Here is a 26,719-nt window from a genome sequence, read left to right on the forward strand (position 1 = left end):
TGTAGTCCCAGCTACTCAGGAGGCTGAGGCAGCAGAATGGCGTGAATCCGGGAGGCACAGCTTGCAGTGAGCCAAGATTGCACCACTGCACTCCAGCCTGGGCGACAGAGCGAGACTCCGTCTCAAAAAAAAAAAAAAAAAAAAAAAAAGATTATCTATAGCAACACCAATTTCCTTTCTGATGTATAGTGGTCCTCTGCTTATCTATTCAGGTATCCTCTCTCTCCTCCCTCACTGCCATTTTTCTCTGCTACCTCTGCTTTGAGAGGCTCACATCACTGTTTTTCATCTGCTATCAGCTGTAAATTGAGAAAGTACTTAAACCAGGTAGGTAAATTAGTTGTATCAGTAACATTAATTTGAAATTCTACTGCTGTATTAATGGTAATAAGCTCAAGTGTGCGAATGGACTCTTCAACAGAATAAAATCTGACTGCTTTATTCCATGTTGCTGGGATACATCGTGTACTTGTTTACAGGCTCCAATTAACTGAAAAAGTACTTAAAGTATGACTGAAATAAATAGGGCACACTTCACTTATGATTTATTTAAATAAAAGTAAAATCTTCAGTTGAACATACTACAGCAATAAGATATTCTAGGGTGATTAAATTTCCAGCTATCTGAAAGCTAACTTCTCATTAAGTGCCAAAACATAAATGGTTTTTGCCGGAAATATGGTAAAAGGTTTTTGGCTATTTAAAATATGTGTAACATTTTACTTAATTGCCTTTGGAAGTATGAAACAATATAATTAATATATCTTTTATGATTCTGGACCTTGCAACTCCCTAGGAATATCCCTCTAATTGATGATTCTCTTCTTTTTTCATAGAAACTATAACTTAGGAAATTTCATTAAACAGGTACTGAGTCCTAGTCATGCATAAGTTGTCTTATTTTAGTATTAAATTATTCACGGGCTTTAAAAAAAGTTTACTATCTCAAAATTCTAAACATTTTCATTAATTAAGAATTCCCATTAGGTTAGAATACAGCCAATTAATGTTTTACTACTGTAATACAATTCTCCCATATAACTAGTTGATACATTGCAAGTTTCTTGTGAAGCTATTTTTTAAATATCCTAATACATTAAAAGAGACTAACATTTACAAAGTACTATGTTCCTGGTATTATACCAGGAATTTTACATAACTTTTCGCACCTGATCCATGCAACAATGATATCAGGTACATTCTAGTCCCATTTAACAAAAAACGAAGAAGCAAAACACATTCTGAGCCCACCCAGATATATTAAGAAATCAGCTCAAGAACAAACAGCTAGTAAGTAGATCCACCTGACTCCAAGTGGAAAGACTCCCTGCTGTCTCCATAATGATCGATGGTGGCAGTCTTGTTGAGCCACATGGCCTAGATTTGAATCCCATCTCTGATGCAAACTATGTGATCTTGGCCAAGTCACCTAATTTTTCTCAGCTTCAATTTCTTCATCTGCCAAATGGGGATAAAGCAGCATATACACCTACTAGGTAAGCACTCAGTAAATTTTAGCTATTATTATCCAGTCTTGTTTGATACAAACATTACTCACAGAAAGTGCAATACACTTAAGAGCAAATCTAGCAACCACAACTAGCACTTGTTGATATTTAAACTTTTAAAATATTTACCACAAGGCCTATATCAACTTAAACTTCCTTTCAGCATGAGTGTTATAGCTGTGAGTGGAACACATTACCTGAGGTTCTATGACAGACTCATTAAAGATAGATTGGGTGATAGGGTCTTGATTTACCACAATGGGACCCTGAGAGGAATCAGGAGCCACTGTTACATTTGGAAACCCTGCAAAAGGAAAAGAAGTTGTGATGATTTGTTTCATTTAATTAACTTGACTTCACAAGCTCTATACTGCCATTGGTTTGCATCATCATATGAAAATCTTAAACAGCAGCTCACATTAATGTAGTGCTTACTATATGCCAGGCACTGTTCTAAACGTACTTACATATATTAACTCATTTTACTCTCATAAAACCCTATAAGTACAATTACTATTTTACAGATCAGTAAACTGAAACTCACAGACATTAAGTAACTAGCCCAGAGTAACACTAATAGATTGCCAAGCCGGAATTCAAACCTTACATGAAAAACTAATGATGTTTCTAGAAGATTAAGATAAACAATGAACTACACACACATTAAAATAAATAATGCGTGTATCTGACAAGAGGCAAAGTTCCTCTTAGAGAGAGACTGAAGTTGCTTTAGGTTTCAAATTAAGCTTTATTCAAGTCACATTTTAAAATTACAAAATCCTGTACTTTACACCATATTTTAGTAGATTAAAACAATTTACTTTTCCTTAGCTGAATTATTTGTAATACAAGTAGTTAATATTCTTAGTGGAAAGGAAACAGATTATAATGACTCTAACCCTAACAACCCTTGTAAATCCACCCTACAATACTTGTAATATAAATAATATGATGCCTAAGAAAGGACTTTAAATTCTTCCAAATAGTCAACTGTGGGCTACAGTTAATAAAATAGAGAAGCTTTTGTTTGAATTGAATACCTGTGCGCCTACGAGGAAACAGCTCTTTTGCTGCAGCTATTAGATGATCAGATTTCTCCAACACATCTTGCATCTGGTATTGATCAGAAAGAATCTAGACATGTGTTAATGACAAATATTATTATTCAGATTATATTTACTTTTCAAATCGCAAAGGAAAAGACCATAAAAAGGCCTGGAGCATGAAAATAACCATAGGCTACCTTCCTAAAAACCTTCAGTAGCAATATCCTTAAGAACCAGTAGATGGGGCTAAGACAATAATTAGTGGCTTTCCAATACCTGACTGAAATCCAAAGTAAGAAATATTCACAATTGGCCGGGCGCGGTGGCTCACGCCTGTAATCCCAGCACTTTGGGAGGCCGAGGCGGGCGGATCACGAGGTCAGGAGATCGAGACCATCCCGGCTAAAACGGTGAAACCCCGTCTCTACTAAAAATACAAAAAATTAGCCGGGCGTGGTAGCGGGCGCCTGTAGTCCCAGCTACTTGGGAGGCTGAGGCAGGAGAATGGCGTGAACCCGGGAGGCGGAGCTTGCAGTGAGCCGAGATCCCGCCACTGCACTCCAGCCTGGGCGACAGAGCGAGACTCCGTCTCAAAAAAAAAAAAAAGAAATATTCACAATTGTGACCCACCACATTTACATACACATATACAAAATAAAAGTTTTAATTAAATAAAAAGTTAATTAAAATAAAAGTTTTAATTAACCTTGCTCCATGAGAACCACTGATATTTTCTTGTTAATTTCTATTCTATTTTTTAAATGTTGGCAGCAACTCACTTCACAATTCATTAACAAATTATAATCCATAGTTTGAAAAACACAGATGAAAGATATGAATCTTTGAGCCATAAACTTAGAGGTGTTTCAACCACTAGAGTGAATTCAGAATCCACTAATGTAATCCACTAATGTGTCAAGTCATGACCTACAACTTTAAAAACATGACATAAGATATGAGTTTTAGCATTAAACAAAAAATGTGAGGCCTCTGTGTTTAAAAACAAATCAGTTTTTTACCCTGGAGAGGTAAGAACACAAAAAGTAACATTACAGTAGTGCCTCTGGATTATGCACTTTCAACTTAGGAACTTTCATAATTAAAAGTAAGGCCACAGGCTAGAGTAAAAGCCAGATAATTCTCTCGGCACCACCACCAGATGGCATTCTCAAGTTAAAAAGTACCTGGAAACTGCTCAGTTTCCAACACTTGACTCAAATTGATAAAATATCTGATAACAAATACTCTTACCAGAATTTCTCTATACTACAGAATCAAATACATACACAATGTGACCTCAGTTATTGTTTTAAGACACAGAAAGAAAAATAGCAAGAGTCACATTCTTAATTTTTCCCCTTCTTCCCCGGCTATAGCCAAGCAGGTTGGCTGACTCAGTGAGAAGAAAGCCCTGAATTTATTCCTTCTACAAAGAGTAAGCTTTGGAATGGTATCAGGTCAAGAGCACATCAGACCCAGAAGACTGAGAGTCCAGTCCCAGTCAACAACCCTTCCCCAGCCCCACAGGGGTGGTAGATGGATATGGAAACACTGAAAACCTATATACCACTCTAGAGATGTTTCAGAATTTTGCTATAACTTAAATTATATTATCCCACAAACCAAATTTCTATTCTTACTTAGCCGTCTTGCAAGTACAAGGAATTATGAGCTTAGGAAAGAATGTGAATGAATGAGTATAATCTTTCACTATACCAGAAAAATTACACAAAGCTTATTTCCTAATAATAATTTTAAGAGTTTACTATTTTTTAAAAGCATTGACCTATCAAAATAAAGAGATGGAATTGACACATGAAGATTATAATCTTATAACCATATTGAGACCTGATATTGATTATAATGAGGTCTCATGTAAAAACCATTATCTGTCACCTTCTGCTAGTCCAAGCTTGTCCAACCTGTGGCTCAGGATGGCTTTGAATGTGGCCTAACACAAATTTGTAAACTTTCTTAAAACATTATGAGATTTTTTTTTTACAACTTTTTTTTTTTTTTTTTTTTTTTTAGCTCATCAGCTATCATTAATGTTAGTTTATTTTATGTGTGGCCCAAGACAATTCTTCTTCTTCCAATGTGCCCCAGGGAAGCCAAAAGACTGGAAACCCCTGTTTAGTCCCTGCCCTTGGGAAAAATGGTTTGAGTGATCAAAGATCAGTGTATTGGCTTTTACTTCTTCTTTCTAGATTTATAACTCCTCTCATAAAGCCCATCCATTTGACAGGTAAACTGATCTCTACAAGCCTAACTCTATCTATTACTCCTCAAATGAGTTTGCAGAGCACAAACTTAAACCTGTAAGTGGTGGTACACATGTTGGATTTTCAAAGGATCCCAGTCTCTACAAAAAAAAAGACATTATCAGAAACTCGTCATCTTAGCCCTTTTGTACCACAGTAAAAGACATGAGGTAGAATTGGGAAATTACAAAGAGGCTTTAGGAGTTATTACATTTTGGGGATTTATAAGATCTTTTTGAAAGCCTCTCCATGAGTGAGAGGGAACCCTAATTTGCTTGATTCCCATGGCATGGGTACATCTTACAGCAAATGAAATCTAAGATTATGCTGGCCAAAGAGCTTTCTCTTAATTTATGTTAATCTGGGAGTCCAGCTTCAGGTGGATGGGTCCTGTTAGCTTTAATACATAATGATGAAGCTTATGTGAATATGTCTAAGGAGGCTTCTTCCTTTGGTCCACTGCATCCCTTAAACAGAGACGTTGCAAATTTACCAACATTGAAATAAAAGATGCACATATCCATTGACTAAGCAATTCTACTTTTAAGAATTTATCCTGAAAATATACTTACATGTGTACCCAAAAACATTTTCAAGGATATTTATTACATTATTGATAGTAGCAAGGTAGAAGACAATCTGTGGGTAACTGACAGTACTACTTAAGTATCCAGCAATGTTCTTTTGGTTTCTCCTTTAACAGCAGAACTCCTGCATTTTAGCCAATTACATAGCTAGATTTCCCAACCATCTTTGTAAGTGGGAATGGCCATGTGATGACTTTCTGGCCAACAGGATATATGCCAGAACTTCTGGGTGACATGTAATAGGAGTAGCATGCACTGTTCTTCCTGTTTCCTGCTGGCTGGCATATAGCTGAATGAAGCTGCTATGGCCATTTTGTATTCAGAGACAGAAGCTGTGTAATAAAGGACTGCAGAGTTCCCTACCAGCTACCACTTTCCTCTCAACTGTTTAATAAACAGAAACAAATTTGTTTGTTTAAAGCAAAACATATAGGAGGGTATTTTTTTATTTCCAGAAGCTTAAACTATACTCTAACACACAACCTAAGTGTTCACCAATAAAGCACAGGATAAATAAATTGTGGTACATCTATATGCTAATGGCCATCAAAAAGAAAAGGTAGATGTCTAAGCACTGACAGGAAATTATCCCAAGATATGCTGGTAGAGAGAAAATACCTGAATCCTGATGAGAGCTGAGGTGCTCAACCCCTGCAGCACATTCAAATTACATAGGAACTGTCTAAAAAACACCTACATGGGGCCACATCCTAGGTCAACTAAATCTGAATCTCTGGGTATAGAGTCCAGATATAGTTATATATATATGCATACATACATAGAGAGAGAGAGAGAGAAAGAGAGCTTTTTTTTTTTTTTTTTTTTTTGAGACAGAGTCTCACTCTGTTGCCCAGGCTGGAGTGCAGTGGCACAATCTCAGCTCACTGCAACCCGGATTCAAGCGATTCTCCTGCCTCAGCCTCCTGAGTAGCTGGGACTACAGGCACCTGCCACTGTACCCAGCTAATCTTTAGGGCTTTTTTTTTTTTTTGGTTTTGCTGTTGTTGTTTTTGAGACAGGCTGGAGTGCAATGGACCAATCTCGGCTCACTGCAACCTCCGCCTCCCAGGTTCAAGCAATTCTCCCACCTCAGCCTCCCAAGTAGCTGGGATTACAGGCACCCGCCATCATGCTCAGCTAATTTCTGTATTTTTGTAGAGATGGGGTTTCACCATGTTGGCCAGGCTGGTCTTGAACTCCTGACCTCAGGTGATCTGCCCGCCTTGGCCTCCCAAAATGCTGGGATTACAGGCATGAGCTGCCACACCCAGCTGTTATATATTTTTTTAATGGAGCTTCTTGACCCTGACTGATTCTAATGTGCAGTGAGAGTTGAGAACCACTATACTAGTGCCTGAGGCAGCAGATCTACAAAAAGAAGGCAAAGAAACATCACTCATCGTCTCTCACCACCCTTCTTTAAACACCTACTTCTACCACATCTATAACTTGTATGAGAAATTCAGGACATGAGCAGGAACCACTAGAGAAAGGAAAATAAGCCCAGAGTCTGATGCAATCCAAGCAGGCTGCCTTTTTTCGTGGTGAGATCTGTGTTTTTAGGCCTTTCACTGAGAATTACCCCATAACATTTAAATGTATGCGACTTGTCCAAGATCACCAAAAGATACTTACCTGTAAAGAAGCATTCTCTCAATCAAGCCACTGTTCTTTTCTCAAGCTCATGTAAACATTTATTTGGGAGATATTATTCTTCCTGATGATGTCTAAGACTGAGACTTTATTTCAATAAGAAGCCTAACAAATTCCTCAAAAGAAAATGTATGATTCAAAGCTGCCGTGAAAGGTCAGACAGCTAAGTGCTGTACATAAGCTTCAATATGAACAAGGAGCAACACTACAGACAAAGCACATTCCTTCACAATGACTTCAGCTCAAATTTAAAAAGGTTATTTGCTGTAGTTTCCTCTTATTTCCCATATTGTTTATCCCTACATATCTGATTACTTATCTGAACACCCCACGTCTGGCAAAAGGTTAAGCCAAAGACAAGTTGCTTATTACTCAGTTGGACAAGCATACAACATCATTTTTTTTTCAAAGTAACCTAACAGCACTGCTGTTAAACTGAGAAAAATAATTATAGCAGCTTATATATAAAAAGAGGAATAAGAAAAGATTGTGCTAATCACTTTACTGAGAAAAATTATTATAGCAGCTTATATACAAAAAGAGGAATAAGCAAAGATTGTGCTATTCACTTTGTAAGTATTATATCACTGAAATCTCATAGCAATACAAGCAAATAATAATTTTAAATATGAGAAAATTCAGGCTGAAAAGTTAAATAATTTACTTAGGGTCACACAGCTGGTAAGTAGTAGAACAGGAATTCAAACCACCAAACCAGACTCCAGTCACCACTCTGTTGCTTTTTTTGAAGTCCACATGTAGATTATTGAATAAGAATGCAGTGATTACTAGAGTCTCTCCAACGTGAATCAAATTGAAGAAAAACAAAGAACCCTATTTATCTCCTTTTTTTCTTTCTAACTCTAATGCAGTTTAGCATTACCTCCTTCATGATAGACAATCTTCTTTTCTCAAGATTTAAAGTTTCTGGTTTCTGCTTCCTCCATTTTCTCTTCAAAGCTTTTTCTTGGAGTTCCCAGTGTACTAATGCTCTATTCTTCGATTTGTGTATTTCATGACGGCGTACCTATACAGAAGAGAAAAGTACATAAAGGAATGTTTCAGACACAAAGAAGTTGCCTATTCAGATGATGAGATCACCTACTCTAGTTCATCACTTTTTAAACTTTTTCTGGTCCAATATGTGCATGTTTATATATATTCATAGCCAAAATTTTCAGTCCCCTAAATTTTCAAAAATGATCTTAAAGAAAGCAGTATATAGAACTGGTAAACCTACCTAAAAGATGTACAGAAAGAAATAATAATTTCTACTACTTTTCTGCAAGACTATCCAGCAAACTAGTGTTTTTCAAACCACAGGTTGGGACTCACTTAATGGATGATAAAATCAATTCATGGGTCAAAACCAGCATTTTTTTTTAACATACACATACACACATATACACACACTAACTGAGCACAATGTAAAAGGTACAAAATCCACCGAGTCATCTTTGGCAAAGACACACTCATTTCATGATCATCACACTACTACCAAGAAATAATAATGTAGTGTTTATAGCCCTTCAATGGCCTCATGTGGGAGTGGGTCACTGAAAATACAGAAGTCAGGGAAATAGAGTTCCTGAAGTACAAGAAGAGATACGCGCCACAGATCTCAAGTGTTAGAGGGTTCACTAAGGTGGGTTCACTAAGGTTCACTAAGGTGGCTAAGAAATAAAATTAGATATTTGATTTTACAAGTACTCTAGTATTCAGAACTATGAACATGAACATATATGATAAAATGTACTACTGAGTTTTCACCATGTAAATAAAAAATCAATCCATTAAAGAGACAATAACAAGTATTACACAAGGATTCTGACTCACAAAAAACAAATGAAGATGACATTTTTTAGACAACTGAGGAGATTTGAATATGGGCTAGGTATTAGGTGTTACAAATAATTATATTTACTTTTGTTGGATGTAATAATGGCACTGTGGTTATGTTGAAAAAAAAAAGGCTTACATTTTTAAAAAATGCAAACTGAATATGTAAGCACAAAATGATGTGTTCTCTGGAATTTGCTTTAAAATATTTCAGAGAAAAAAGAAAAGGGTAAGATAAATGAAGCAACTGTGGCAAATTTTTAATAACTATCCTATCTGGGTGAACAGTACATAGTAGTTATTTCTATTTTTATCTCCATTTTCCCTTGAGTTTGAAATTTTTCATTTAAAAAATATTAACTCAGTTGGGCATAATTATTATTCTCAGTAAATAGTTAATGAGCACCTACTAGGATTAAGACTCCTGGGTACACAAAGATGTATAAGATATGGTCTGTATCTCTCAAAAGCATTAACAATCTGCCCATTGAGATTGGGCACATCCTTATAAAGACAAATGATATACATTAGATGTCATATACTCAATGCCTAAGTTAGGTAGTAATAGTTCAGAGGAGATAACTGTTGGTCAGTTTCAAAAACAGGACTTCAAACTTACTATAAAACGACAGTAATCAAGACAATGTGGTACTGGCATAAGGATTGACATATAAATCAGTGAAATAGAATTGAGAGTGCTGAATAAACATTTATATTTATGGACAAGTGATTTTTCAACAAGAGTTCCAAGATCATTCAATGGGGAAAGAATAGTCTTTCCAATAAATGCTGTTTGGACAATGATTATCCTTTAGCAAAAAATAAAGTTGGGCCCCCCTCCCACCACACACCATACAGAAAAATTAACTTAAAATGAATCATAGTTCTACATATAAGAACTACAACTATAAAACTCTTAGAAGAAAACATAGGAGTATGTCTTTGTGAACCTTGGGTTAGGTAACAGTTTCTTAGGTATGATACTAAAAACTCAAGTGACAAAATAAAAAACAGGTAAATTTGACTTCATCAAAATTAAAAACTTCCCTGCTTAAAGGACACCATCAAGAAACTGAAAAAACAACTAAGAAAATGGGAGAAAATACTTGCAAATTATATCTGATTAGGAACTCAAATCCAGAATACATACATAATTTTTATAACTCAACAATAAAAGCACAAATAATCCAATTTTTAAATGACTAAGGTATTTGAATAGACATTTCTCCAAAGAATATAGTAGAAATGGCCGAAAAGTACACAAAAGGATGCTTAACATCCTTTATCAATTAGGGAAATGCAAATTGAAACCACAATGAGACAGCACTTTACACCTACTAAGAGAACTAAAATGAAAAAGGTGACAGTAACAATGTGAGGAAACTGGAAGCCTCATACATGCTGGCGGGGATGTAAATGGTGCAGCCACTTCATAGAACAGTTTGACAATTATTTAGAAAGTTAAATATGGAGAAATTATATGACTCAGCAATTTTACTCCTAGATGTATACATATAAAAGAACTGATAATACATGTTCACACAAAAACTTGTACATGAATGTTCACAGCAGCATTATACCTAACAATGCAAAAGCAGAAACAATGCAATGTCCACCAACTGAACAACAGATAAATAAAATGGTAGATCCATACAATGGAATATTATTTGGCAATTATAAGGAATAAAGAACTACTATGAGCTGGGCGTGGTGGCTCATGCCTATAATACCAGCACTTTGGGAGGCTGAGGTGGGCAGATTCCTTGAGCCCAGGAGTTCGAGACCAGCCTGGGCAAGACGGCAAAACCCTGTGTCTACAAAAAATACAAAACTTAGCCAGGCGTGGTGGCATGCACCTGTAGTCCCAAGTACTCAAGATGCTGAGGTGGAGATGGCTTGATCACAGGAGGTGGAGGCTGCAGTGGGCAGAGACATACATGCTACAACAGGGATGAACCTTGAAAATATTATGCTAAGACAAAGAAGCTAGACACAAAAGGCCACGTGTTGTATTCCGCATATATCAAACGACCAGAATAGGCAAATACATAAAAGCACAAAGTACATTGGTCATTGCCACAAACTGGGAAGAACTGGGCACAAGGAGTGACTGTTAATGGGTAGAGGGTTTCATTTTGGGGTAATGAAAACATTCCAAAATTAGATAGTGACAATGGTTGCACAACTCTGAATATACCAAAAATCACCAAACTGCACACTTTAAACAGGTAAATTTCATGGTATGTGAACTATATCTCAATAAATCTTAAAAAAAAAAAAAAAAAAAAAACCTAAGTGGAAACATAAAAAAAAAAAGTAGGATTTGAACTAGGATAAGGAAGTAAGGTAAGATTTGAACGGGTAGAGAAGAAGGTACAGAAACTGTTCCAAGTAAGGAATGGGGGCTCAGACATGGAAATACACAGAAATTATTACACTGACTAGAACAATATGTTTGTATAGGGAAGTAATAAATAATGCTGAAGATATCTATAGATTTTTTAAAAAGGCAGATAGATAGATATATATCAGGCAGTACTAGACTGAAGAGATTTCAACTATAAACCCAACATATTTAATGAAACTCTAATACATACTAATTGATATTCCTAGCTCAAATCAGGAAGTCCAGAAGATAGGCGTTTTGATTTTATATAGACATAAACAAGATTAAACATAACTGAACAACTTCCAGGAAGTGCCTATAGTTTCTATTCTAAAGGTTACAAGTCAAATACCAAATAAAACACTGAATAAATGACTTAAGTTTTGATATTAAACTCACCAGATCTTCGGGAGTTGCCCGATGAACGGTTAGATCAGTCACGGTATTCTGTAAAAAAAGGTGGCCTTTCTTTAAAAAAAAAAAAAAGTTTTCTTATAAAATATACACATTTATTGGATTTTAATGGCTAAAATGGTTTCAAAATCCTAGGACCAAAAATTCTTTCTTTCTAGGAACCAGTATTCTCAATTTAGATATGAACACATATTAGTTTTAGGTGTCCTATTTATAGAAAATAACAGACTAATTTTAGATGTCTTACAGAAAATAAGTACTGTATTCACCAAGCAGTCATACACTATAGTAAAACAATGAAAATACTCAAAATGAATATATGATATATGAATAAATGGTAGTATATATTCAAAATGAGTAAGTTTAACTAAAGTTTTAGTTTTCACACTGTAGTCTATGGAATCCCAGGATTCCACAACGTAACGCTAAAGGTTCCTAAAAGAAAGTGAGATCACTGGCTGGGTACAGTGGCTCATGCCTGTAATCCCAGCACTTTGGGAGGCTGAGGTGGGTGGACCACCTGAGCTCAGGAGTTCGAGAACAGCCAGGCCAACATGGCAAAACTCCATCTCTACTAAAAATACAAAAATTAGCCAGACCTGGTGGCGGGCACCTGTAATTCCAGCTACTCAGGAGGCTGAGGCAGGAGAATCACTTGAACCTAGGAGGTGGAGTCTGCAGTGAGCCAAGATTGTGCCACTGCACTCCAGCCTCAGCAACAAAGCGAGTTTCTATCTAAAAAAAAAAAAAAAAAAAAAAGAAAGTGTGATCACTATAGAGAGGTTCAATTTGTGTCTGCAAACATCTTAAGCATAGATGCTACTACAATGGAAGATGAAATTTGAGGGCAATGCATAATTTCATAAAATGTAAAAACAGTCAGTTAAATTAAAAGGCACTAAACTATCATGGCAGGGCTACCACCCTGCACAACTCCATAAGTTACCATTAATATCAGAGTCCGTGTAAATAGCACCCCTTGAAATTGTGTGGTACACAGGCTGCACAGCTCTAAGTAGCAACCCTGTAACTTGGCCCTTTCCAAAGCAACTTCAGCCATTTTGCTACACAGATTTGGTAAGGCAGGAAATAAAACAAGTTAGTTTTACTTCTAAGTGACGAGGAATACGAACAGTCAAAAATGGCTTCTGATCAAAGACTAAACTTTTTGGCCATGATTTATATTTGGCTCAAGGCTTTTCTGTATGAAAACTGTTATTACTTTTACAATGATTTAGAAAGGTACAAGAGCCAGGCATGGTGGTGTGCGCTTGTAGTCTCAGCTACCCAGGAGGTTCAGGAGGCCGAGGCAGGAAGATCTCATCATGAGCCCAGGAGTCTGAGGCCAGCCTGGGCAACATAGCAAGACCTTGTCTCAAAAAAAAAAAAAAAAAAAAAAAGGGAAAAGGAAAAGAAAGGTACAAGGTACAACTACAGGATCATGAGAATTGTTTTTAATAGGCATTTAAAAACTCAGGCATACAAGTAAGTGATAGGCTTGAAATTTGTTCTCATGGAAGAAAATAATAATTCCATCAATACTAAAACCATTGCTTAAAACCATTTTCTTTTGACATTCCATTTAAATCTAATCTACAAGCCATTTCAGAAAATGTTTCACTATTTTTATCAAGACAGTAATAATCAGTTTGATCTCTTCTCCATCATTTACCATTTACTCCAAATGACTTATGACTATTTTCCAAGTTCAGTCTACCTTCAAAAAACAAAAGATTTTTCCAGCACTGCAGATAAAATGAGGAAGGTTCTTAATGCAATTTCAAATGATAGATTTCAATTAAGTTTTAAGCAATAGTGGCATATTGGAATAAATGCAGTCATCCCACAGTATCCAGGACACCCACATATACCAAAATCCACACATACTCAAATCCCACCTAATTGGCTCTCCATATCTGGGTTTTACATCCTGAAAACACTGTATTTTCAATCCACCTTTCGTTGTAGAGGTGGAACCCCAGGATACAGCCAACTGTATTTATTGAAAAAAAATTCATGCGTAAATGAACCCGTGCAGCTCAAACTCATGTTGTTCAAAGGTCAACTGTACTAAACTTCTCAAAGTAACCACTCTGAAGGGGAAAATATGTTATCACATATTTTTTTTTTCCGATTTATCAGTTTCCTTACCTTAGAGTCACATCCTTGTTATTAAAATTTTATAGCCAATCAGACAGCAACAAAACAATCTAAACACAGAGAAGTCCCGCTGCCCCACTTCAAAGGCTGTCAGTTTGCCCAGGATATCTGGCTAACATGGTAGGTTGCAAACAAGAAGATTCCAAGTCCAAAAGAATCCCTGAGATCCAAACTAATCCCTAACTAGTTACTCTTCACAATGGAAAGTAAAGACACCTAAAGTCTCATGGTCCAAACCAAAGTATCAGGTCACAAAAGAGAAATCTAGCTGGGTGCAATGGCTCGCCTATAATCCCAGCACTTTGGGAAGCGAAGGCACGAGGATCGCTTGAGGCTAGGAGTTTAAGACCAACCTGGGCAACACAGCAAGGACCTGTCTCTACAAAAAATATTTTTTTTAAGTTAGCCAGGGGTGGTGGTGCATGCCTCTGGTCCTAGCTACTCAGGAGGCTAAGGCAGGAGGATTGCTGGAGTCCAGGAGTTTAAGGCTGCAGTGAGCTATGATGGCATCACATCACTCCAGCCTGGGTGACAGGACATGACCCTGTCTCTTAAAAAAAAGATATAAATCCCCTTGGTAACACCAGGCAATATTCAGGTTAGGAGCCATACATCACATGTTACAGGTACTTCAGCCTTGTCTTATACCACAAGAGAACATTTGTTCTGAAACCGATCAACCTCTGGAATTGAGCAATTCATGGGATAAGAGAGCAAAGGTCACCTATTTTTTTCAGCCAAAACTGGCACTCACATGGTTATGATATCACTGGTTGCTCTGAGCAAACCTAAAAAAGGTACCGAAAAATTCACAGACTTCATTGACACCAGTGAGCTAGAGTTGCCTTTATGCAGTGAGTTCTCAGAGTCAAAGTGAAAAGACGTTTTTTAAAATATGCTCCCCATCCCCTTAGGATTCCAATTCTTCAGAGGATATAGAGGTTACAGCCTGGATGTGTGTATTCTAAAAACCTCCCCCAAAGGATTCTGCTTTTCCCTCCAAGACCTAGAATATCACATGCCCAGAAACCTATTCCACCCTATTACGTGATGAGCCCCATTCAGAACACCATCTTGCATGACTAGGGCCATATCACTGTGTCCATTTCTCCAGAGTAATGTTACATTATTTACTATCCCACCTATACTCACATCCCATTCTTGTTTCACTGAAGTTTTCTTCTTCTTTACTTTCGGTGTCTTTCTTACACCAACTCGGGGACCACAGCGGTTCACTCTGACAAATGACATCTAGGAATAATAATCACATCAAATTTTTAAAATACAAGAAAAAACAATAAGCATCACCAGAGTGGGGGAAGACACCTGAAAAAAAAAACAAATTTTAAAATGCCAGAAGAAAAATTTAAGCATGATGAAAGGAACAGCCTATCAAAATACTTAGTTCTTTTATTTTACAACTAATAAATGTTGGTACTGATAATTATAATAAAAGAGGTCTCAAGTCAATAACTTATATATTTGATTAAAAAAGAACTCTAGGAATGCAGAAATTATGGCCTAAAGCCGAGAACTAAGACATTCGTCATAAGCTTTGTCATCAGTTACACAAATTTACAATTAGTAGAAAATAGCCCAGTCACAAGCTAACAATATGAATGTAAGGTGAAGGGAAGAAAGGGCAAAAGAGAGTTGGAGTTCTTTTTTAAGCACTCTAACACTCAAAATCACTACCAGGTACATATGGGCTTACTTGAAAATAAAAGTAGCTAAACTTTAGAGAACAAATGAGGTATGATATCACTTCTAATATATCTGTCACATAATGCTAAATGGTGCTAATTATTGATTTTTTTCTATTGCTGATAAACAAATTAATAATTATTGATTTTAAACTAGAATTTTTAAATTGCCAACATTAGTTTGCCACTGTTTAAACAGCAATGCTAAGCACACTAGACTACACATTACACCAAATTAGAAAAAGACCCATAGTCCCCGAACACCAGGATTTTACAATACATATATATGACTTTTAAAAAGCAATACATATACATGACTACTATTGCAGACACTTTTAACCTACCTAAATAATTACAGGACTTTCCAGCTGACCCCCTTACTCCCAATTAGTCTAAAACAAGGACTCTAGTATTTTCCTTAAGTACTTTTTTTTAAAAAAAAATCATTGTCTACTATAATAAAAATGTCTAAATACAAGTATTTCTTAAGAGTTTGCCCTCAATCTTCCTTGCACTCTGTACTCTCTCTTAACAAGAACATTCACTCCTTAAACATGGTATCTAATTTCAGCATTTACAATTTCAGCCAAAGAAAACAAGTCACATACAAGTTAGAAAATAACATTTAAGTTTTATGATGGTAATGATGATGATAGCCACGGTGGTAATGATGGCATCAGCTAACAGATACCGTGTGCTTACTATAAGCCAGATGCTATTCTAAGCTCTTTAAACATTATTTTCTTGAATCCTCACAATAACCCCATGAGGTACTTACTATTTATTCCTCATTTTACAAACGAGAAAACTGAGAGACAAAAGTTAACCAACCATGAAGGTCACACAATTAGTAAGTAGCAGAGCCATAAGTACCATTTAAAAAGATACAGAATATAATAGAACAAAGAGTCTAAAACAAACCCTTACATTTATGGTCAGTTTTTCAACATGGGTGCCAAGACAATTCAACGGGGAAAGAATAGTCTTTTCAACAGATGGTGCTGGGACAACTGGATACGCATATGAAAAAGAATGAAGTTGGACTCCTACCTCACACCATATTCAAAAATTAAATTGATTCATGGATTTAAATATAAGAGCTAAAACTACAAAATTCTTAGAAGAAAACATAAGAGTAAATCTTCGTGAGCCGTGGGTTAAGCAATGGTTTCTTAGAAATGACACAAAAAGCACAAGCAACCAAAGAAAAAAATAAATTGGACGTAATCAAAATTAAGAATTTTTGTGCTTCGAAGGCACAATCAAGAAAATGAAGACAACCAATAGAATGGGAGAAAGTATCTGCAAATCCTCTATCTGATAAAGGACTTGAATCCAGACTATATAAAGAAATTTTACAACTCGACAATTTAAAAAATCCGATTTAAAAATGGGCATAGGACTTGAATAGACATTCCTCCAAGGAAGATACTATAGACAGCTAATAAACACATGAAAAGATGTTCAACATAATTAGTCATTAGGGAAATGCCAATCAAGATACCACCTCACACCGACTAGGATGGCTATAATCAAAAAGACGGACAACAACAAGCACTGACAAAAATATGGAAAAACTAGAATCCTCACATATTGCTCATGGAATGTAAAATAGTGTGGGCACTTTGGAAACAGCTGGCAATTCCTCAAGAAGCTAAACACAGAGTAACAACATGACCCAGCAATTCAACTCACATATTTACATCCAAGAGAACTAAAAACATACGTCCACGTAAAAACTTGTACATAAAAGGTCACAGCAGCATTTTGAACAGACAAAAAGTAGAGACATCCCAAATGTCCACCAACTGATGAATGTATTAATAAAATGTGGTATATCTACACAATGGACTATTACTTGGCAATAATAAGCAATGGTGTACTGATACATGCTACAACATGAATGAATCTTGAAAGGGTTCTAAACACAGAAGGCCCCCTATTGTTTGGTATCATTGATATGATGTGTCCAGAATAAGTAAATCCACAGAGACATAGATTAGTGATTGCCAGCATCTAGAGGGAGCATATAATGGAGAGTGACTGCTAATGGGTATAGTGTTTCTTTGGGGAGTGAAGAAAATGTTCTGAAATTAGATAGTAATGTTAGTTGCGCAATTATGTGAATTGACTAAAAACCTCTGAACTGTATACTTTAAAGGGTGAATTATAGCTCAATAAAGCTGTTATTTTAAAAGATAGGAAAACAATAGTTATTCAAAGACATGAATCTAATGTATTTTAACCACTTAGATCTTTAACCACTTATATCTCCAATTTACTCTGCAAAAACAAGAGTCATAAAATGTCAGTATACCTATATGATGAATTATGTATCCATTAAAATTAAAAATGTTTAATGACAGGAAAATACATAAGAAGTATAAAAAGTAGAATACAGAACTGTATGTATAGTATATTCTCAATGATGTTAGAATATAGGCATTATTAATAAAGCACTTATCTCTGCTAAGAGCTTCACATTTGATCCCACAACCCTGTGAAGCCTGTTCTGTCTTGAGAGACAATATAGTATAAAGGCTAAGAATACAGTCTGGAATCACTGTCTGGGTTCACATCCCAGCTTTTTCACTAACTATAAAACAGAACTAATTAAATATATAAGTGCTTAGAACCCCTGCTGATATGGTTTGGCTGAGTCCCCACCCAAATCTCATCTCGAATTGTAATCCCTATAATCCCCATGTGTCATGAGAGGGACCCAGTGGGAAGTGATTGGATCATGGGGAGCAGTTTCCCTCTTGCTGTTTTCATGATAGTGAATTCTCATGAGATCTGATGGGTTTATAAGTGTCTGGCATTTCCCCTGTTTGCACTCACTTTCTCTCCTGCCACCTTGTGAAAAAGGTACCTGCTTCTGTTTGGCCTTCTGCCATAATTGTAAGTTTCCTGAGGCCTGCAAAACTGTGAGTCAATTAAACCTCTTTTCTTTATAAATTACCCAGTCTCGAGTATTTCTTTATAGCAGCATGAGAATGAACTAATACACCTGCCTAGCATACAAAATTGTATTTAAATGTTGAGGATAATGATGTCAGTGACAACAATTAACCCTTTTCCCAAATAAGAAAAATGAGACTGGAAGAATCAATACAGTGAAAATAGCCATACTGGCATTTTTAAGTAATTTATAGATTCAATACTATGCCTATTAAACTACCATTAACATCTTCACAGAATTAGAAAAAACTATTTTAAAATTCATATGGAACCAAAAAAGAGCCCATATGGCCAAGACAATCCTAAACAAAAAGAACAAAGTTGGAGGCATCATGCTACCCTACTTCAAACTATACTACAAGGCTACAGTAACCAAAACAGCATGGTACTGCTACAAAAGCAGACATATAGACCAACGGAACAGAATGGAGAACTCAAAAATAAGACTGCACATCTACAACCATCTGATCATCAACAAACCTGACAAAAACAAGCAATGGGGAAAGGATTCCCTACTTAATAGTGTTGGGAGAACTGGTGAGCCATATGCAGAAAATTGAAACGGGACCCCTTCCTTACACCATAGACAAAAATCAACTCAGGATAATTAAAGGCTTAAATGTAAAACCCAAAACTATAAAAACCCTAGAAGAAAATCTAAGCAATACCATTCAGCACATACACACAGGCAAAGATTTCATGATGAAAATGTCAAAAGCAATTGTAACGAAAGCAAAACTTAACAAATGGAATCCAATTAAACTAAAGAGCTTCTGCACAGCAAAAGAAATTATCATCAGAGCAAACAGACAACCTACAAAATGAGAGAAAAATTTTGCAATCTCTCCATCTGACAAAGGGCTAATATCCAGAGTCTACAAGGAACTTAAATTGACAAAAAAACAAACAACCCCATTAATAAGTGGGCAAAGGACATGAACACAAACTTCTCAAAAGAAGACATTTATGCAGCCAACAAACGTATGAAAAAAAGTCAACATCACTGATCGTTAGAGAAATGCAAATCAAAACTACAGTGAGATACCATCTCATGCCAGTCAGAATGGCGATTATTAAAAAGTCAAGAAACAACACATGCTGGCAAGACTGTGGAGAAATAGGAACAATTTTACACTGTTGGTGGAAATGCAAATTAGTTCAACCATTGTGGAAGACAGTGTGGCGATTCCTCAAAGACCTAGAACCAGAAATACCATTTGACCCAGCAATCACATTTCTGCATATATACCCAAAGGAAAATAAATCATTCAATTATAAAGATACACACACATATATGTTCACTGCAGCACTATTCACAATAGCAAAGAGATGGAATCAACCCAAATGCCCATCATTGATAGACTGAATAAAGAAATGTGGTACATATAAACCATGGAATACTATAAAGCCATAAAAAGGAATGAGATCATGTCCTTTGCAGGGGCATGGATGGAACTGGAAGCCATTACACTTGGCAAACGAATGCAGGAACAGAAAATCAAACACCACATGTACTCACTTATAAGTGGGTGCTGAACAATGAGAACACATGGACACAGGGAGGGGAGCAACACACACTGGGGCCTGTCAGATGGCAGGGGGATGCAGGGAGACAGAGCATCAGGAAAAATAGCTAATGCACGCTAGATTTAATACCTAGGTGATGGGTTGATAGATGCAGCAAACCACTATGGCACACGTTTACCTATGAAACAAACCTGCACATACCGCACGTGTACCCTAGAACTTGAAACAAAATTTAAAAATATTAAGAATATTAAAATTCAAAAAAAATGAAAAATGAGGCTTAGAGAAAGTATATAGCTCAAAGTTATACAAATAATAACAGGCAGAGCCAAGAGCTGACACTCAAGACCAGGTCTGACTGACTGTAAAGCACATGCTGGAAAACTTTGCCAGAATTGGGTTACCTCTGTTTGCTTTTATATTTCCCAAATTTTCTATAATGGACCTATGTTACTCTTAAAAATGGGGGGAAAAGTATTTCAAGTTACATTTAGAATATTTTACTTATTCAGAAGCTAAAACTCCAGATGAGAATGCATACTGGCCAACGACTTGATTACAGCTTTGGAAGACCCTAAGCAAAGAATCTAACTAAGCCATGTCCAAACTCACAACCCACAGAAATTGTGAAATGATAAATAGTAATTGTTTTAGGCCACTAAATCTGTGGTAATTTACTACCTGTGTACAGTAGGATAACACAGGTATAGTTAAGCTGCTATCCCATCTTTGCCCTTCTCTTGCCATCCAGCTTCATGAAAAGGTACACTTTAGCACCTGTATTTACTAATCCTTAGTTCTACCTCCAAGTTTTATTAATTACAAAAACTCTGACCCCACCTTTGCACTGAAAAGCTTTCTTTTTTTTTTTTTTTTTTTTTTGAGACGGAGTCTTGCTCTGTTACCAGGCTGGAGTGCAGTGGCACGACCTCAGCTCACTGCAACCTCCACCTCCCGGGTTCAAGCGATTCTCCTCCCTCAGCCTCCTGAATAGCTGGGATTACAGGCGCTTGCCACCATGCCCGGCTAACTTTTGTATTTTTAGTAGAAACGGGGTTTCACCATGTTGGTCAGGCTGGTCTCGAACTCCTGATCTCGTGATCTACCTGCCTTGGCCTCCCAAAGTGCTGGGATTACAGGCGTGAGCCACCACACCTGGCCTCTTCTATTCTTTTCTCCTTTTCTTCACAGGCTCTATTGTCCTCCTCCACACAAACAATTTAATCAAGGATTTCCACCCAGTTCTATCTCAGTTCTCATTCTTCTTGTCTTTCCATTAGATACCCTCTCCTTTCATTCAATAATTATTTGGGGGAGTGCAGCACACACCAGGCACTGGCTAGGCATTAGAGATACAAGTAAACAAGTAAACTAAGTAAACTAAATAAACTAAGATATTAGTAAACAAGTCTAATATGGTGCCAGCTCTCATGGAGCTGCTTTCTTGATCACAAAGGGGCAGTTCACATCCTCCCTCAGTGACCTCACCAACTCCCTTGAGCAAAGCTATGAATGTATGGACAAACAAACACACTGTGAAAATGAGTCCCAAATCAATGATTCACACCTTTCCTCAAAACTTCAAACACAGTGGCTCGCATCTGTAATCCCAGCAACTCGGGAGGCTGAGGCTGGAGGATCGCTTGAGGCAGGAAGCTCAAGACCAGCCTGTGCAACATAGCAAGACCCTGTCTCTAAAAAAAAAATTTTTTTTAATTAGCCAGGAGTGGCAGTGAGTGCCTATAGTTTCAGCTACTCAGGAGGCTGAGGTGGGAGGACTGCTTGAGCCCAGGAATTGGAGGCTGCAGTGAGCTACGATGGCGCCCCTGCACTCCAGCCTAGGTGACAAAGTGAGGCTCTGTCTCTTAAAATAAACAAACAAAAACAAAACAAAAACACCAAATGCTCATTTCTAACTACCTACTATATACATCTCCCAAATATCACAAATACAGTATATCAAAATACAGCTCATCATCATACCCCAAATCTCTACTTGCTGATATATAACTGGTTGACTCGATAAATATGTTCAATTAAGCTGAATTTACAGAATTACAATCCTAGTTGCTCCAATTTAAAACCTCAGCATCACCTCTGTTCCTTATCTCTTAGTGAATCAGATAACAGAATCTATTAACTTTTTCCCTAAAAATCTCTCTTGCCCGCTCTTCTCCATCTCTACTAAAAATATTTTTGTTCAGGCTCTCATTATTCTAATTAGTCTCCCTTTCACTCTTCACTCACTGACTTCATCATCCATCTATTAATGTAACTAATATTTTGAAGCACCATCTAAAAGCGAGGCACCAGATATAACAAGAAAGTAGAATAGTCTATGCCCTTGCAGAGTTAAGAGTTTCTAAGAGGACCGCAATTAAACAAGTATTTACAACAAAAGGGCAGCATGGGAAGTAAATTCTGTGTGCCATGAAAGTACCTAACTAACTCTATGCAGTAAGTAAAAGCTTCTCCTCTCTGTAATACCCCCAAAAATGTTTGCACTGAGAGCTAAAATACGAATAAAAGTTAGAAGCAGGGGAAAGAATATTCCAGGCAAGGGAAAATGCATTTACGAAGAGTTTGAGAAGTTCAGTTCAATTAACAAAGATCTGAGAGGGTGAGAGGTTAAAGGAAGAAAGGCAGACAGCAGATTGTAGTCTTGTGAGCCACAGCAATCTGAACACCTAAGACCATAGGAAACCACTGAAGAATTTTAAAAGGGATAGTTATGACTGGACTTAGTAAATCCACTCTGACTGGTGTGGAAAACTGATCAAAGAGAAACAAGAACTCTTTCCAAACACTGTTGAATCAATCCTACCTAAATACATGGATAGAGAATAGATCTGAACCCTTTACCTACTTCCTCTAGATTCGGATGGCTCCCCACTGTCAAAAGCAATCCAACTCAGCTTGGCATTCAGACCCTCTCCCCCATATGGCCCGGCTGACTTTTCTTTCCAGTGTTCTCTCACATCTCCCGCAAATCCTAAAACCAAGCTCTCGCCTCACACACAGTTGCAACCATTCTTTTCCCTCTGCTTGGAACACTCATTAGGCTCACTCTCTTCTCTACTGGGTTAACTTCCACGGACTCCTCAAAACTCACAGGAGGAGCCTTCTGAGAAGCCCCTCTGACATCCATCGATTTAAATGACGCTCCCGGTCCCAAAGCACCCTGGATAGTTTGCCTCTCTCCTGCTACACGGTGAACTCCCCCAACGCTACAATCGAGCACCCCCAATTACCAGCTCTGTGCAAAAGCTCCCGAAAGCGGTGCGCACGCGCATACTCGAGGTGCTCTGGCGCCACGCACAAACATACCCAGACACGCACCCTGACACGTACTTGCACTCTCAAAACACAGAGCCGCGGCTGCGCTTCCTGAAGTAAGGATTCCCCAACCGGGCGCCTGGATCCCAGGCAACAGACAGATGCCACCACCGTTCTCCCCACCCTTTTGGTAGCCCTGGTCCCTAAGGCTCGTTGGGACTGCGAGCTGCAAGCCTCAGATCCATCATCTCAACCTGCCTTGCAGTCGGTCCCGACTGCCGCCGCCACCGCAGCTAAAACTTCAGGCGCCGGAACCGCGGAGCGCGCCACAGGTTAACCCAGCCAGCGGCTTCCGGGCTGTTGCCTGGGTTACCAGAGCTCCGCCCCACGCCCTTGCGTATATCCGGCGAGCCCAGTGCGCAGGCGCCTCCCAAAGCCTATCTCGGGTCCTGAGTCTAAGGGAGAGAGGTTCCTCTGCAAGGTTCAGGGCAAATTATTAAAGAATAGGTATATAGCAGGCCGGGCGCGGTGGCTGACGCCTGTAATCCCAGCACTTTGGGAGGCCGAGGCAGGCGGATCACGAGGTCAGGAGATCGAGACCATCCTGGCTAACACGGTGAAACCCCGTCTCTACTAAAAATACAAAAAATTACCCGGGCCAGGTGGCGGGCGCCTGTAGTCCCAGCTACTCGGGAGGCTGAGGCAGGAGAATGGCGTGAACCTGGGAGGTGGAGGTTGCAGTGAGCCGACATGGCGCCACTGCAGTCCGGCCTGGGCGAAAGAGCGAGACTCCGTCTCAAAAAAAAAAAAAAAAAAAAAAGAATAGGCATATAGCATTAGCCGGTGCCTCGAGAATTCTCCAAAAGAAAGATGTTGCTCTCCTCACCAGACTTCACATATCACTTAATTTGCTTTCATCTCTATTCATTTGTTTACAAATCTTTAGTAGTGGAATCCCAGCACTTTTGGAGACAGAAGCAGAAGGATTGCTTAAGCTCAGGAGTTTGAGACAAGCATGGGCAAGATGGCGAAACCCCGTCTCTACGAAAAATTAAAAAATTAGCTGGGCGTGGGAACACGCCTGTAGTTCCAGCTACTCAGGAAGCTGAGGTGCGAGGATCGCTTGAGCCAAGGAGGGCAAAGCTGTAGTGAGCCACAGTCATACCACTTCACTCCAGCCTGGACGACAAAGCAAGACCTTGTCTCAAAAAAAAAAAAAAAAGTTGTTTATTACAACCTACAAATGTGCGGGAGAGCTAGGTTCTATGGGGCTAAAAACAGGCAAGGTGGGAAACTTACAGCATATTAACAGACAGTTATCAATGACAAAAACATTAAAATTATGACGAGTGCTAAGAAGGAAGCACTCTAACCAAATACTTAGCTTATTATTATAGTAATATTTGAATTACTCAGGAAAGCTCAGACATGAATAGGCCAGTGGGGAAGGGGAAAGCATTCCTGCAGAGGGAGCTGCATGTGCAAAGATGTGGAAAATGCAAGGGACAGGAAGAGGTCCAGTGTGTCTGAAGTTTAGAGAACAGTGGGAACTTGCTGTGAAGGGGAGGCGCCCTGATAGGCTGGATCCACGACAGTCAGAGCTGCGTGGACCACGTTAAGAACTTTACAAAGCACTTGATTCAAAAACAGAGTTTATTTGCTCTGGTAAGACAATTTCCTCTAGCCCCTTGCTTTCTGCTGTTACAATACACCCATGTGTGGTCTGCAAATACATGCCCAAAACCTTCTAGAGGAAAGGTACTGCCTTTAATAGTTTTCACTCTGATTGAGGAAGTTTGATGTAGATATATTTAATAATCAACAATCATCCACTTGCTTGCATCCTCAACTCCCTGCCCCTCTCTAAATTGCTGTAATCACTTGGCAAAATGACCATATTAGCCATCCCTACTTTACACTTACTAAGTGCTTGCACCCATGCAGCTGAATCTGAAAAAAAACACCCAATCATGCTGACTTTAAATTCATGATTACTGATGTTAAGTAGGACCTTAAAGATGCTTGAACATCTCATTACAGGTCCCTGTTCATTGATTTTCCTACATATTAGTTTTATACCTTCATTCATACCCAATGCCTTGTCTCCTATCCTCATTCTCACACAATGACCTTGCTTCCTACTGCATTGATTACACTGAATTATTCAAAAGAGAACTTCCCTAAGCTCCCATCATTATTTTAATCCTTCTGTCACTATCTTTACCCACAGACCTGCCTTCAGAAGCTCAGCATAAGAAATATGAAGAAAGCTAATCAAAATACTTCATAATCAAATTGCTCAGAACGAGTGATAAAAGAATCTTAAAAGCATCCAAGGAAAAAAATACATGTCGTATACAGCAGAACAAAACTAAGGATTACATCAGTTTCTCATTAGAATCAAAACAAGCAAGAAGACAGAATAACAGTTCAAACATATTCAAAGAAAAAAAGCTATCAACCTAGAATCCTTATACTATTCCTTTTTTTTTTTTTTTTAAGACAAAGTCTCACTCTGTCACCCAGGCTGGAGTGCAGTGGCACGATCTCGGCTCACTGCAACCTCCACCTCCCAGGTTCAAACAATTCTCCTGCCTTAGCCTCCGGAGTAACTGGGACTACAGGAACACACCACCATACTCAGCTAATTTTTGTATTTTTAATAGAGACGGGGTTTCTCCATGTTGGTCAGGCTAGTCTTGAATTCCTGACCTCAGGTGATCTGCCCGCCTTGGCCTCCCAAAGTGCTGGGATTACAGGTGTGAGTCACCGCGCCTGACCCTTATACTATTCCTGATACCACTTAAAGGTAGACTATGATAAAATAAAGATGTATACTATAAACCCTAAAGCCGCCACTAAATAATAAAAGTTATTGTTAAAAGCTTACAAAAGTCATGTAAAGGATAACGAAACAAATACTTGATTAATCTAAAAGTATAAAACAAGAAAAAACAAAGAAAAGAGAGAAGTAGGAAAGAAATTGCAAGATGATAGACTCATAAATCATATTAAATGTAAATTGTCTAAACACACTGAATAAAAGGCAGAGATTGTCAGATTGTCAGAGATTGTTTAAAATCTTGAATTTTTTAAATTGCTGCTTATAAGAAGGGAAACATTAAATATAAAGACACAAATAAGTTTAAAATACAAGGATGGAAAAAAGATATATCATGCTAACACTAGTGAAAATAAAGTGGAGTGACTTTATCAATTTTAAACAAAGTAGAGTTCAGAGCAGAGAATATAACCAGAGATAAAGAAGATCATTTAATAATAATAAAAGAACCATTTAATCAAAAGGTCATAACAATCCTAAACATTTTTGCATCTAATAACAGGACTTAAAAATATATGAAGCAGAAACTGATAGTACTGCAATGCGAAATTGAAAG

The 26,719-nt window shown here is 37.8% G+C and overlaps 1 protein-coding gene and 1 long non-coding RNA gene across 17 annotated transcripts in view, besides 5 other annotated features; both read right to left on the bottom strand.

Moving 5' to 3' along the window:
- The window catches only part of SPICE1-CFAP44 (SPICE1-CFAP44 readthrough (NMD candidate)), a 228,227-nt gene extending 204,571 nt beyond the window's left edge, over nucleotides 1-23,656 (bottom strand). For 5 of the 12 annotated variants that reach the window (NR_183050.1, NR_183049.1, NR_183048.1 and 2 more), the window contains exons 1-6: nucleotides 23,397-23,656; nucleotides 15,007-15,105; nucleotides 11,680-11,727; nucleotides 7,939-8,082; nucleotides 2,549-2,642; nucleotides 1,706-1,812 (exon numbers count right to left, since the gene is read on the bottom strand). This is a non-coding gene — a long non-coding RNA (SPICE1-CFAP44 readthrough (NMD candidate)). Of the gene's footprint in view, nucleotides 1-1,705; nucleotides 1,813-2,548; nucleotides 2,643-7,938; nucleotides 8,083-11,679; nucleotides 11,728-15,006; nucleotides 15,106-23,296; nucleotides 23,343-23,384 lie in introns of those variants that run through there. The other 7 variants (NR_183046.1, NR_183045.1, NR_183056.1 and 4 more) reach the window with 4 other exon arrangements.
- Nucleotides 1-23,656, bottom strand: part of SPICE1 (spindle and centriole associated protein 1) — a 72,439-nt gene extending 48,783 nt beyond the window's left edge. For 2 of the 5 annotated variants that reach the window (NR_170870.1, NM_144718.4), the window contains exons 1-6: nucleotides 23,397-23,656; nucleotides 15,007-15,105; nucleotides 11,680-11,727; nucleotides 7,939-8,082; nucleotides 2,549-2,642; nucleotides 1,706-1,812 (exon numbers count right to left, since the gene is read on the bottom strand). Coding sequence is in view for 4 of the 5 variants with exons in the window: in NM_144718.4 (NP_653319.1) it covers nucleotides 1,706-1,812; nucleotides 2,549-2,642; nucleotides 7,939-8,082; nucleotides 11,680-11,727; nucleotides 15,007-15,105 (492 nt within the window). In the remaining variant the exon portion in view is untranslated. Of the gene's footprint in view, nucleotides 1-1,705; nucleotides 1,813-2,548; nucleotides 2,643-7,938; nucleotides 8,083-11,679; nucleotides 11,728-15,006; nucleotides 15,106-23,157 lie in introns of all 5 variants that reach the window. The other 3 variants (NM_001331078.2, NM_001331079.2, NM_001387939.1) reach the window with 3 other exon arrangements.
- Nucleotides 23,343-23,462: an enhancer, noted in NCBI's record as "active region_20252". NCBI's record gives its function as "activates an Ori minimal core promoter by ATAC-STARR-seq in GM12878 lymphoblastoid cells {active_cell/tissue: GM12878}" and the evidence as "EXISTENCE:reporter gene assay evidence [ECO:0000049][PMID:35858748]".
- Nucleotides 23,523-23,572: an enhancer, noted in NCBI's record as "active region_20253". NCBI's record gives its function as "activates an Ori minimal core promoter by ATAC-STARR-seq in GM12878 lymphoblastoid cells {active_cell/tissue: GM12878}" and the evidence as "EXISTENCE:reporter gene assay evidence [ECO:0000049][PMID:35858748]".
- Nucleotides 24,279-24,328: an enhancer, noted in NCBI's record as "active region_20254". NCBI's record gives its function as "activates an Ori minimal core promoter by ATAC-STARR-seq in GM12878 lymphoblastoid cells {active_cell/tissue: GM12878}" and the evidence as "EXISTENCE:reporter gene assay evidence [ECO:0000049][PMID:35858748]".
- Nucleotides 24,839-24,888: an enhancer, noted in NCBI's record as "active region_20255". NCBI's record gives its function as "activates an Ori minimal core promoter by ATAC-STARR-seq in GM12878 lymphoblastoid cells {active_cell/tissue: GM12878}" and the evidence as "EXISTENCE:reporter gene assay evidence [ECO:0000049][PMID:35858748]".
- Nucleotides 24,949-24,998: an enhancer, noted in NCBI's record as "active region_20256". NCBI's record gives its function as "activates an Ori minimal core promoter by ATAC-STARR-seq in GM12878 lymphoblastoid cells {active_cell/tissue: GM12878}" and the evidence as "EXISTENCE:reporter gene assay evidence [ECO:0000049][PMID:35858748]".

Source organism: Homo sapiens, chromosome 3 (genome assembly GCF_000001405.40).
Source record: "Homo sapiens chromosome 3, GRCh38.p14 Primary Assembly".
In the NCBI taxonomy this organism is placed as follows: domain Eukaryota; kingdom Metazoa; phylum Chordata; class Mammalia; order Primates; family Hominidae; genus Homo; species Homo sapiens.